At 48.8% G+C, this 13,474-nt stretch overlaps 3 annotated features.

The window, feature by feature from the left end:
- Positions 8,721-9,359: an enhancer, noted in NCBI's record as "H3K4me1 hESC enhancer chr10:80516074-80516712 (GRCh37/hg19 assembly coordinates)". NCBI's record gives its function as "activates a minimal SCP1, AML or CMV promoter by ChIP-STARR-seq in primed H9 embryonic stem cells {active_cell/tissue: H9 hESC(primed)}" and the evidence as "EXISTENCE:reporter gene assay evidence [ECO:0000049][PMID:30033119]".
- Positions 9,999-10,637: an enhancer, noted in NCBI's record as "H3K4me1 hESC enhancer chr10:80517352-80517990 (GRCh37/hg19 assembly coordinates)". NCBI's record gives its function as "activates a minimal SCP1, AML or CMV promoter by ChIP-STARR-seq in naive H9 embryonic stem cells {active_cell/tissue: H9 hESC(naive)}" and the evidence as "EXISTENCE:reporter gene assay evidence [ECO:0000049][PMID:30033119]".
- Positions 10,638-11,275: an enhancer, noted in NCBI's record as "H3K4me1 hESC enhancer chr10:80517991-80518628 (GRCh37/hg19 assembly coordinates)". NCBI's record gives its function as "activates a minimal SCP1, AML or CMV promoter by ChIP-STARR-seq in naive H9 embryonic stem cells {active_cell/tissue: H9 hESC(naive)}" and the evidence as "EXISTENCE:reporter gene assay evidence [ECO:0000049][PMID:30033119]".

The following is a 13,474-nucleotide window of genomic DNA, read 5'->3' on the forward strand; positions in this document are numbered from 1 at the left end:
CTAGCAATAAATATCGCTTGAACACTGAGTGAGTATCAAGACTCACTCCAGCTCCCACTCACTTGAGGGGCTGCGATAGCAGATGTGCCAGGCCCCGGGCAGGCAGAAAACTCCTGGCTGTTCACTCTGCCCCCTGGTCCTCACAGGAGGTCAACTCAGCCCCAGAGGTGAGGCGAGCAAGCCCCAACACCATGATCCCTCTGCGTCCAACCTGCCCCTTCCAGGCCTGCCTAGCTCCTGGAGTCACCCCAGAAACTCCCCCCAGCACACATACTGTCATCTCTTCACCGTGAACTGTATTTAAAATGTAAATAAAAAAAGGCTTTTAGGAGATTTAACTGTTTCCCTTGGTATTTAAATTATTCAATTATAACTAAAGCTATTAAAATACAGTTAATTAAAATTGTTAGATTGTTTTCCTTTGCACTGATCGCAGCATTGCCAACTTCTCCCTCTAGCTGTTTAATTCCTATTAAAAATGATAATGCCTCGCTTTATTCATAAATGCAGCAACCTTCCCGCACATTCTTCAAGTGATCTCCTCAACACGAACCGCGCCGTGTTCTTTTCTTCTAGCAGTGAAGCGGAAATTCTGCTGTAGTCTTTAGAGGTTTAATCAGCAGTAAAAGGCCTCAAAATTTAAACATTAGCATTACCAAGTCACAACAAATAATGCAGCCCCCTGTTAAAAAAAAAAGTCTAATTCTAATGCAACGTAATGTCATTAGAGACCAAAGAAGAACCCTGAAGTTTAATAAACGGTGGGACCCAAATAAAGATTTCATAACTTACAACATAAAATCACCCGATCCACATGTTAAATATTTTATTTGAAAGGTTTCACAGCATTTCCAGTGGGAATAGCTCTGCAGTGGAAGTACAGATGGGTAAGTGCTGCCGGAACAGAAAGCAAGAAAAAAAAAAAAGGAAGAAAAGAAGGCTTCGAGGACCAGCTCTTAGCTTGTTGAGTTTGGCATGTATAAGATGGCGCACCCTGAGAAACTAATTGGTTCTAGTGTTTAAACTCCTGAGCCATGTGTTCCCACAAGGATAATGGCTCTTGCAGGTAATGATGGGCAAGGTGGCAACGTATTTAACTTTCTCGAATGTAGCAGGTGCCACCTCTAGAATTTGGAGTGATTTGTGAGCCACATGTGGTGGAGGGGGTGAGCCTTCCAGTCCCCAGATGGAGAAACGGAGGGTATAGTGATGAAATCAGCCCAAGCCATCAAGGGTGACCAGTTGATGAGGAGCCTTCTATGCTCCAAACCAGGCATGAGTAATAATTATCCCGCCCTCGAGGAACTCGGAGTCCAGCAGGGCCCTTGTAAACCACATATGGGGTACAAGTTCAGACTGCATTTGCTCCAATGAATTATTCCTGTGGGGAGGTGGAAGACTTCAAGAGAGAAGGAAAGATTGGTGCTTTGGCTGGCTGAGAAGATCTCTAGTGGCCCAGAGAAGAAGCATAGGAGAAGATCAAGACAAAGAGGCGGGAAAGAGATGGTGAGTTGGGGCCAATGAGTCATTTTTTAGGGCTGGAGCACGGGCTAGTGGGAAGGTTGTGGTGGGAAAATCTAAAGTCTTAGGAACCCCTTCAGGAAAGGTCTTGAACCTCATGCTTAGGAGTTTTGACTGTACTCTGAAGGTTGCCTACAATTTAGAGACCAACCAAAGCCCATTAACTACTTATGTCTGTCACAGAACTGGGTCCTTGGGAGGTAGTTGGTGGTGTTGAGTGTATTAGTCTGTTCTCATCCTGCTAATAAAGACATACCTGAGAGACTGGGTAACTTATAAAGGAAAGGTTTAATTGACTCATAGTTTCACAATGCTGGGGAGGTCTCATGATCATGGTGGAAGACAAAGGAGGAGCAAAGTCAAGTCTTACATGGTGACAGGCAAGAGAGCTTGTGTAGGGGAGCTCCACCTTATAAAAGCATCAGATCTCATAAGACTTATTCCCTATCATGAGAACAGCATGGGAAAGGCCCGCCCCCATGATTCAATTACCTCCCACTGGGTCCCTCCCACAACAAATGGGAATTATGGGAGCTACAATTCAAGATGAGATTTGGGTGGGGACACAGCCAAAAAATATCATTGAGTAAACCAATGAAAGACCTAATGCCTTTCGTGCACTAATTGTCTCTGGGAAAGCCATAGGTTTCACCAATAAGCTGGTGGGTACCCTATCCAAAGGATGGTCTCTGCCAACCTGAGCTCTTGGACCTTGGTCTGCCAGTGTCCTGGGCTCTCACACTGGGGCTATGGTCTTCCATATGGACCCATCCACTTTCATATTCTCTGTTGGGGATATGGGCTTTCTCCTTTGTGCAGCTACAGAACCATAATTGCTGAGCTGCTTAGGTTCACCACATGTGCCTCTTGGCCCAGAGAGGTGCAATGCCCAGGGAAGTATAGAGAGGGGATGGCTTGATGTTCACATCAATAGTGTTCTTCATTAGAAAAATGCAAGTGAAAACCACAATGACACCCACTGTGCAGCCACTACAGTGACTGTAAGCAAAAAGGCAGCAATGCCAAGTCTTGTGGTGAAGATGTGAAGAAACTGGAACCCTCATGCACTGCTTGTGGTGTGACCACCTTGGAAGACAGTTGAGAAGTATCTTAATGAGTTAACACATACCTCCTGTATAATCCAACTGTTCCATATCCGGGAAGAGAAATAAAAGCCTATGTCCATAAAAGACCTGAATAATTGTAGCAGCTTTATTCATAATTGCCAAAGAATGGAAACAGCTTTAGTATCCATCAACAGAGGAATGGATAAATTAACTCTTCTATATCCATTCAATGGAATATCACTCAGCGATAAAAAGGAATGCGCTATCAATACATACTACAGCATGAATGGATCTCAGAAGAATGATCCTGGGTGAAAGAAGCCAAGCAAACAAGAGTGCTTACTGTATGATGTCATTTCTATTAGGTTGGTGCAAAAATAATTGCGGTTTCTGCCATTACTTTTCATGGCAGCTTTGTTGTCATTTATATAATGGTTGGTGCAAAAGTAATTGCGGTTTTTGCCATTACTTTTAATGGCAAAAACCGCAATTACTTTTGCACCAAACTGTATAAAATTTTAGGTAATGCAAACTAATCTGTAGTAACAGAAAGCAGTTGTCTGGGGGATGGAGGTGGTTAGGAAGGAGCCATAGGAAGGAGTTATGAAGGAGCAGGAGACTCAGGCATGACAGTTGTGTTCATTCTTTTGACAGTGGTAATGGCCTCGTGGGTATATACATGTGTCAAACTTACAAAAGTATACACTTTAAATACTTGCAGACTGTTGTATGGCAACTGTGCCTCAACAAAGCTGCTTTTTAAAAAGTTAAAAGAGCTAGGACTTCAGAGTTTTCTTTTTCATAATTTTAATTTTGGTATGGTTTCACATGTACAGAGAGGCAAGAATAGTTCAGGACCCCCACATGCCCCCCACCTTGATCCACCCACCACTCACATGTTATCTCATGTGCTGTATTGTTCTCTTTCTATTTTGCTTCTCTGAACTATTTGAGAATTAAATTGGAGTTGTTGTTTGCCATTCATCTTAAATGCTGTAGTGTGTCTTTCTTTCTTTTCTTTCTCTTTCTTTCTTTCTTTTTCTTTCTTTCTTTTTTTCTTTCTTTCTTCTTTCTTTCTTCCATCTTTCTATCTCTCTTTCTTTTTTTTGACAGAGTTTTGCTCTTTCACCCAGGCTGGAGTGAAATGGCACGATCTTGGCTCACTGCAACCTTCTCCCCTGGGTTCAAGCAATTCTCTTGCCTCAACCTCCCAAGTAGCTGGGATTTACAGGCGTGCACCACCATGCCTGGCTGATTTTTTTATTTTTAGTAGAGACGGGGTTTTGCCATGTTGGCCAGGCTGGTCTCAAACTCCTGCCCTCAGGTGATCCACCTGCTTTGGCCTCCCAAACTGCTGGGATTACAGGCACGAGCCACCATGCCCTACCTAGTGTGTATTTCTTAAGAACAAGCCACTCTCCTACCCTCCAAAGTATTGTTATCAAAATTAGAAATTTTAACATTGATGCGATACTAGTATTATCCGATCGGGACTCCATATTCAAATGTCCCCAGTTGTCCCCCACAGTGCCCTTTATAGCTGTCTTCTCCACACTCTGGGATCCACTCCTTAAGCCCACAACTCCTTCCACTCTTGCGTCCTAGTGTCCTCTGACCTGAGTTCAAGTCCTGGCTCCATCACTTATCCCATGACCGCACGGACACTCGCCCCCTGCAGCCTGAGGGAAGGCTGAAGGAGAGGACATCTGTGCAGCGTCTCCAGCATGGTGCAGTGCCGAGGGAGCTTTTGGGGAGTGGGCAGCAGCATGCACAGCCCAGTGCACCCAGAGCCATTGCCCCAGACATTCTTCAAACACCTGCAGTGTGCAGGCTGGCCTCATCTCAAACAGAGCCCTGTGGTCCGGTTTCTCCTGCCCAGCCTCTCCCTGCCCTCCTCTCGCATCCTCAATATTGTCACGCTGACCCAGAGCAATAAGCATTTCCCAGCAGCTCATCAAAGGCAGCCGTCCTCTGGCAAAAGAGACAAGTGGGCTGCAATTGTGACTTTTCAAAAGCTTCAATTGGTGAAATAATTCCCTCTGGAGTTTTTTTGGAATATAACATTTTTCTTCTTGTTTAAAAAAATGTGTCATTCTTTTTCCTTCTCCCCTTCCTACCACGTATTACTCAATGCTGCAGGAAGTTCAGCCTCAACAGTGAAGATGCCCTCATCCGGGCAGGAGGTGTCCCTGGTCATCAGCTCCATCTCTCAGGGCCTCCTTCCCACACTGGAACACATGACCTGTACCTCCCTGGACTGAGCTGACCCATGAGGGTGGACCATGACCAGGAGGAGCCGGGCCAGGGGCTGCTGCCTGGAAGGTAGCCTGGAGTGAAAGCTTTGCCCATTTGGGATAATGATAACTAAATCTTCAGATCATCTCTCTTGGGTAGTTTAAATGCAGTGGGAACTCAGCTGCTTGGCTTGGCATATGTAATATAAGTGAAAAGATCACCAACAGAAGGGTGCAGGGGAGCTCAACCTGCAGAGTCACAAGCAAATGGAGGCTGCGTGTGGACCTGAGACTGAGACATGCAGAGAAGATGGAGCGGTGGGCTGGAGGGAGCTCGAGGTCAGTGCAGTGACCGAGGTGCCAGTCTGGGAAGCAGAGTGCCACATGTGACAAGAGGGAGTGACATCACATCCTGGTATGCTAACCTCCCCCCAGTCCTGCAGACACCTCCCCCAGATTCTTACACTGCCTGGCTGTATCTGCTTCCTAGGGTTGTCAAGGAAACAAATGACCCTAAACTGATGGGGGCGAGAAGCCTGAAATCAGGGTGTCAGCCAAGTGGGCTCCCTCTGGAGGCCCTTAGGGAGAATCTATCCACATCTCTTTCCTGGCTCCTGGTGGCTCCAGCCATGCTCAGCACTCCTTGGCTGGCAGGCACATTCTCCAGCCTCTGCCTCTGCCTTCACTTCTATCATCACAGGACTTCTCCCTTGTGTCTCTGTGCCTTTTCCTTTTCTGTCTCTTGAAAAGACACCTGCCATTGTTTTTAGGCCCACCAAGGTCTAAATTCAGAATGAGCTCATCTCAAGATTCTTACATTATCTCTGCAAAGACCCTAATTTCAAATGCCCCATTCTGTGGTTCCAGGTAGACATGATTGAGGGTAAGGGGCACTGTTCAACCCAGTACACTGGTTGTGAGGGTGAAGGTTCCAGTCCTCACTATGGCTCCCTCAGTCCTTGCTACAAGACTCCAAAGCATGGGCTTGCTTGGACAAGTGGCTATTCCTTGAAACCTTGAGAACCTTGTTGTTTAAAAGAATAAGTCTCATGGGAGGAGTGTGGGCTTTTCTATGGGCTGAAGTGTCTCAGGTGGTCTCTGAGCCTCATTCTTCAGATCTCAACTTTCTACCAGCCCCAGCTGGTCCAAGATTATTAGGCAACTGGTGGAGATAATGTAGGGAAGGAAGGGTTTGTTAGAGAGAAGACCTGTGTAGTGCTGGAAACAGACACAATTTGTGAGTTGTGGATGGCACAGAGATCCCAGAGCAAGCAGGGATGCTGGGAGGGTGAGTGACAGCAGAGAAACCCTACCTGAGCTTCTTACCAGGCAGTAGCATTGGACTCATACTTACCGCTCTGAGCCTCAGTGTCCTCACCACTTACTCGATTTCACAAATGCCAGTTGGACACCTGTTAGGTTCCAGAACCAGGCTGGGTGGTGGAAACATGGCAGTGGGGAAGGCATGTCCCCACCGGGGCTTGACGAGCTCCCCATATGATGGAGGAGAAAGGCTCATGAAGGACCAAGGGGTCATCAGGCACTAAGGGCTGCAACAGCATTCGGTACAGCACCCTGGGAACACTGGTGGTGAGGTAGGCAGGGAAACACCCCTAAAAGAGGTGATGCCAAGCTGGGTCTTAAAGGAAGCTTAAGAGTCGTTCAGGAAGACAGCAGAGACTACGGTCCCAAGCTAAGCTCATGGCAGGAGCTTGCCCTTGGAAGTGCAGTATGGCCCTTGGAAGTGCTCTGTGTATTCCGAAAGGACATCATCACCTCTACGGGGTTGGAGGGTAGGGACTGTGGTGGAGACTGCTAGAGACAAGCTTGTAGAGAGAAGCAGAAACACTTGAATGCAAAGGAGTTGGGACTTTATTCTGTACCTGCTGGGGGCCGTTGGAGGCTGTTAAGCCTACTGTGTAGGGTGAACAAATTTGCAGTGCAGAAAGATCACTCAGGCAGCAAGAGGGGACAGAGGGCGCAGGCTGGGAGCAGGGAAACAAGCAGGAAGCTATTGCAACAGCCCCGTGAGAGATGACAAGGGCAGTGGCATGCGACGGAGAAGAAGGAGTGGATGCAAGAGGTATGTGAGGAGCAACCTGCACGGGGCTTGGTGACCTCACACCAGCCAGCTTTGCTGACCTGTCTGTGGGTCACAGAAGATAATGGATGTGATGCACTTTGAAAGCTGCAGAGCACCTTGTCTGGGTGCCATGGCTGGTTTTGACCAGATCATGAAATGCAGCCTCTCTCCTCCTCCCTGGCTCATCTCTGCTGCTTGCTTTTGCCTGTAAGCAAGGGAGAGAGGGGAGGTGAAAAACAGAGACATTAAGTGCCAAAGCTTATGTTAATACAGCATTAAGGTTGAAAATGTAATCTCCTAGGAGTCAGGAAATTCCGAACAAGGGGTTTCCATGGCAACCCAGCCACACTGCTCCTCTGTCCATTCGGGCCCTGTTTTCCTTGTTAAATATGATCCCATCGTATATTATATGTTATCGAGTTAAATGTGCTACCCACAGCATGCAGAGCTCCAGCCAGCAGCCCTCAGAGCTGCAGGAAATGAGTGTGTGTGTGTGTGTGTGTGTGTGTGTGTCCAGGGGTGGGAGCCTTCAGAATTCGCCTAATATAACACAGCCACATCTTAGGTCCTCGTATCTAATAAATGAGGTGTAATTCCATTAAGAGCAGCTCCTGTGTACACCAATGAGCAAGGAGGCTGCAAGCCCTGTGTTCAGAAGGGGTCGTTCAGGGTGCCTGCCCCTGCTTGGGGTGGGTAGGTGAGGGACGTGGCAGATTCCATCACATCCCCCACAGGAGTGCCCAGCAGCTCCGGCAGGACCATCCCTGCCACCCGGGGCTGCCTCCTGGATGCAGTTCTGAAGAGGTGAACTGGAATTACCTGACCCAGTGGTTCTTCTCACATGCCAGCCGATTGAAGATCAGCTGTCACTGTTAGTTAGCATCCCAGGGTACACTGGGCACCAGCAAACAGATGCGGAAAGGAAATTTGATGCTTCTCCAAACCCTGTCTCCCCACTAACACACCACAGTGGACAAAAGACTTCCAAAGACTTCCTCGGTGGCAGTGGGAGTTAGAAAGAAGGGGGAAATGACTGTCAGGGAGGGCAGCTAAGTAGTGCAGTGTGTGACGGAGAAACATCTGTAGGATAATACAGCGGAAAAAGCATGGAATGTTAGAATCAGGCTGCCTGACCTCAGCCGTCTCCCAGCCATGCGGTCTTCAGCAAGTCCCTTAATTTCCCTTTGTCTTAGTTTTTTCATCTGCAAAATTGGGATAAAATTACCATTAACCTCACACAGGCTTGTTGGAGGATTAAATGGGATAATTGATGCAAAAGCTCACTGTAAACTTCTAAATCCCTATACAAATGTCACTCTTCCAGGGAGCTCTAGAAAACCATGCTGGATTCTGGACTACTACAGTAGGCTGTAGAAATTTTGTGATTGGTTCTGGAATTCTGCGTTGGGTTCCAGAATTCATGGATGGGTCTAGAACACAGACAGACTTTTTCTGTAAAGACTCAGATCATAAATATTTTGGGATTTGAGGGCCATGCTGTGACTACTCAAGTTTTCTGGAGATAAGAAATGAATGGGCATGGCTGGGTTCCAATAAAACTTTATTTACAAAAACAGAAAGTGAACCAGATTTGACCTGTGAGCTGTACTTTGCCAGCCCGGGTCTACAGTGATCTGTGTAGGAAAGCAGTTTTGTGAGAATGCTACTCCTCTCCTCAGAATTTAACTCTCCCTCTTTGACACCCTCCTATCCTCCCATCTCCCACCCACTCACATCCATACCTCTTTCTTTACCCAGCCAACTCAACCTTCCAAAACCAGTTAGAGTCAGCTGCTCCACGAGCAAATTGCAGTCACTTTTGGCCCTTGCCTGCCTCCCTCACAGACTGTGAGATCCTTCCAGCAACCAGCTATGTTACCCAAGGCCCTAGCCCTTAGTCAATGTTTGGTCAATGTTTGTAGAATAGATGGTATGAAAAAACAACAACAAACAAACAAACAAAACAAAAAACAGAAAACAAAAAAACATCCCAGGGAGCCAGGACATTGTCATTCTCAGGAAATCTGTGAGCTGGGATCGTTTCCAAAATCTCAGGTCTGGGCACCAATCCTCTAGTTATAAGCTACTCCGTCAGGGCTTCTAGAACCATCAGTAGGCAGCATCTTTATAGATGCAGGCCAACTTGTGTGTCCACAACCCAAGCCTGGGGCCAACCTGTTGTCTACATAGGCGTGGTGGTGCCCTGTGGCAGCAGGCCAGATGGGCAGGAGCAGGTCAGCGGAAGGCTATAACCTTAGCGAGAAGGTGACAGCCACAGCACCCCTCCCTCTGAGGGAAGGCGCCCCATGTGATCAAGCACATGTGTTCCTGCTCATGACAGCGCAGCAGCCTCCTCATGCCACCCTCGGGGAGCCTCAGCCTCCTCCAGGCTGATGATGTGGAAACTTCCAGAAGTGCAGCAGCCTCTCAGCTTTCCCATTTGCTAGCTTCCCCCATCCTCCTCCTGGGCACAGCAGACAGGCAGAACCAAGTTGTGTAACTCACCTCTGAGTCACACTTCCCCTGTTTCCCCCAGCACGGCATCTGCTTTCTGCCTGACAGAGCCAGGCTTCCTCGGGACAGCCAGACAGGCGGCTATTGTTCAAAAGTCAGGGCCGGTTTGATGGGCTCTCCCGCCCCCAGTAGATGAGCTAGGAAGATGTCACTTTTAATTACAACGGTGAGGGAATAGGTATAGGTGTGTGCGTGTGTGTGTATGGAGCAGGGTTCCACAGGCTTGTGCAATGTGCGTGTGTCTTCACATCGTGACGTGGGTGTGTCGTTAGTGCAGGCTTGTGTATTGCATAGGTGTGTGATGGGTACATGTGTGCTTGCACACGCAGGGCTTTGTGTGTGCACAGGCAGATGCTTTTGGGTACATGGGAGGCTGTTTTTCCTATACGTGCTGTGTGCCTAAGAATGTCTGCTGTGTGGCCATGTGCTTTCATCCGGGTCTGTGCGTGTCTTTAATTTAGGACTCCTTCTCCTGGAGGATTCGATAGCTTCCACCCTCTAGCCTTGGCAAATGAATATTTTATTACTTTTCTTTTGCCATAGCATTAAGCAGTTTTCCTGCGAAGAGCGAGAGCATGACACACTCCAGCAGACAGAGACAAGGCCTCTGATGTCAGAGCCCTGAAAAGCAAATCACCCTACGACGACGTCCCAGGAGGGCTCGCAGATGCTGGGTGTTAGGGCCATTAACAACTGATGAGTCAGCCCTTTACCCGTTCGTCCGACAGCATTCTCTCGAAATATAAAGCCAGCACACCCATTTCACAGGAGGCTGGAGGGAGCTCCCTGCCACTCCTCCCAAAGCCAGCCCAAAGCTGTTTAATTTTTTTTCTCACTTCCTGGTCCTCCTGTTAGGCAAAAGGCTGAATCCTGGGAACAGAAGATCATCGTATAACCCAGAGCCGGCAAGTGAAAGGTCCTGACTTCTCCCCAGGCTCAGGGTGAGGGCCAGGCAGCCAGGCTGAGAAGGAGCCAAGAACACAGGAGGCAGGAGGCCGTGGAGGCACAGTGGGAACACCGATATCAAGACAGTGAACAAAGACAAGCATGTAAAGGATGGATTCGTAAATAGGTCATCTTTATATTTCACTCCCCCTCGGGACAGTCTGCAAGGCTGGGGAGGACATGTCTCAGGCTGACCCGCTGAGGAATGGGTTGTACACCACCAACTCTAACCTAATTGGTAGAGGGTTGGCTGCCCCCATAGGCAAAACTAGCACCCTGTGCTGCAGGCCCAGGAAGCTTTAGACATAAGGCAAACTGCTGAGAAGGCCAACGGGGTAGGCTCTGCCATAGCACCCCTGAAAGGCAAGTGGCCTGTCCCACGTCTCCAGAGCTGCAGAGCCACGCCAGGCCCTTGCACTCCTGTCTCTCCAGCGGCTCTCTCCATCCACAGTGACTCAGATGGTGGTAGAAGCTCCTAGCTTCCCTGTCTCCCATCTCTCTAGAAGATGGCTTGGAGCAAGAAGTGCTTACTCCGGGACCTTGAGGCTGGGCCCGTGTGGGGCAGGGGCTGCTCCCCACTGCTGGCAGTGAGTCTGCCACCCAAGTTCTCTGAACCAGAGCAGCCAGGATGGGGATGAAACAGAGCCACATCTGAAACTCTGGAGCACTGGAGCTGGAGACATCATTCCTTGGTTCGCTCCTTCCACAGATAGTCACTGGGTGCTGACTGCATGTTCTGGAATAAGTGTAAAAGTCCCCAAACAAGAGCATTAGAAAAATAAACAGTGTAAAGGGGCTGGGTGTGGGGCTCACACCTGTAATCCCAGTACTTTGGGAGGTCAAGGTGAGAGAATTGCATGAGCCTAGGAGTTCGACACCACCCTGGGCAACATGGCAAGACCCTGTCTCTACCAAAAATACAAAAATTAGCCAGGTGTGATGGTGCATGCCTATAGTCCCATCTACTGGGGGTGCTGAGGTGGGAAGATCATTTGAGCCTGGGAGGTTGAGGCTGCAGTGAGCTATGATCTCACCACTGCAGTCCAGCCTGGGCAACAGAGCAAGACCCTTAAGACCCTGTGAAAGAGAAAAAAAAGAAAGAAAGAAAGAAAGAAAGAAAGAAAGAAAGAAAGAAAGAAAGAAAGAAAGAAAGAAAGAAAGAAAGAAAGAGAGAGAGGAAGAAAGAGAAAAAGAAAAAAAGAAAGAGGGAAAGAAAAGAAAGGGAGAGAAAAGGAGAAAGAAAGAAAGAAAGAAAGAAAGAAAGAAAGAAAGAAAGAAAGAAAGAAAAGAAAGAAAGAGAGGAAGGAAGGAAGGAGGGAAGGGAGCGAGGGAGGGAGAAAGAGAGAGAGAGACAGAAAGAAAGAAAGAAAAGAAAGAAAGAAAGAAAGAAAGAAAGAAAGAAAGAAAGAAAGAAAGAAAGAAAAGAAAGAAAGGAGGGAGGGAGGGGGAGAAGGGAAAGGGGAAGGGGAAGGGGAAGGGGAAGGGGAAGGGGAAGGGAAGGATGAACAAACAGGAGCCTCCTGAGGCTTTTCCATGCTCCGCCCCTGCCCCCTTCCCACCCATGAATCCTGATAGCATGTTCTTCGTGCTTTCCTTACACCTCTCATTTACCTGCTCTTCCCTGCTGCTGAACTCTGGCTGGAGTGGTAATAAGAGTCATGATTACTATTACTGCCAAGCTCCTTCTTTGTATTGAGCCTTGTGCCTCCCACACATTGCTTTGCAATAATGTGATGAGTTAGGTTCTAGTATCTGCATTTTACAGATAAAGAAATTGAGGTTCTGAGAAGTCCTGGTTCTCACCTCAGGTCACCCTGCAATGGGCATGGCAGAGATTTGACTGGCTCGATGCCTGTGAAGTGGGTCTTAACACTCTTGTCATAGGTTTCTCACTGGTCTGTGAGCTCCTTGGGGACAGGGCAGTGCCTGACCCACTTGCCTTCAAATGCTCCCCAGAGCTTGGCATCTGGGCCTGCACGGGTGGCCGTCTAGTGGAGGCTCCTTTTGTCTTCTGCTCATCTGACCAGGAGTTCCTGAGTGGCATGTGCCTTAGCAATCATTTGAAGGGTCTGTGGCCAGGCCTGCCCTCAGGCCTCAAGCCACCCCAGTGACCTTCTGCAGCAGCCCTCCCAAAGAAAGAAGTGGGGTTCTTCCCCAAGAAACAGGCAAGCATTGAAACAGGCAGAACAGGAATTCAAAATGTATCCTCACAAGACCCAGCTGTGTGGTCTGGAGCAGGTTACCTAGCATCTCTGGGCCTCTGTTTCCTCCAGTGGGGGATCTGGCCCCTCCCAGGAATGTTATGAGGATGGGACTTGAGTGATATATGGCAGGCCCCAGCAGCAGTGACCCTGACCTTCAGGAAGCTCTCAGCAAATACCGATTCCACCCTGACCAGACTGTGAGCTTTCTGAGGCCAGAGAAAGGGTTTTGCTCGTCTCTCTCTCTAGCATGCCCAGCCCAGGGACTAGCACCACGTGGGGTCCTGCTAAGCGATGCTGCTGTGAAACTGTCCTCAGCCTGGTGGCATTTATAAGAGCTGGCCCTAACATGCAGGCTTGTGAGGTCTCCACCAGAAAACGCACAAGTGTGTGCTTCACAGCCAGGATGCAGGCCTGCAGGTGCTGTTCTTAGAAATCGTAGCTGTTCCCTTCTTTCTCTTTGTTTTTCTTTGGCCACTGTCCTTGGTCCCACACCTGCAGTCACAGTCAAAGGCTATGAGAACAAAGTGCCCTGCCTGTGCTGAGTGAATATGCAGGGCAGAGGGCAAACAGAGGGATGAGGCAGGAGGGCCTGCAGACGTAAGATGCACATGGCAGGTAAGGGCTCCCTTTCCTGCCATGGGGCCACCCCCGCCACCCAGCCCTGGCCTCTCTGGCTGGCCTAGCTCTCTTGGGCTGAAGGTGCCACTTGCTACCACCAGAACCCCGTGCCGGGGCTTCTACTGCAGCCCATCCCTGCTCTTCTCCAGCTTTCCTTTATTGCCAACCTGGCTCCCAGGTGGTGCCTGGGGCTGGTCTGTCTGCTTCCCGGCTGGCTCCTCTTGCTCACCAGCACTCCAAGTTCCAAGATGCTCATCCCTGCTCTCAGTTGTTTGGCACCATATTGCT

The sequence above is a fragment of the Homo sapiens genome, chromosome 10, assembly GCF_000001405.40.
Source record: "Homo sapiens chromosome 10, GRCh38.p14 Primary Assembly".
Classification (NCBI taxonomy): domain Eukaryota; kingdom Metazoa; phylum Chordata; class Mammalia; order Primates; family Hominidae; genus Homo; species Homo sapiens.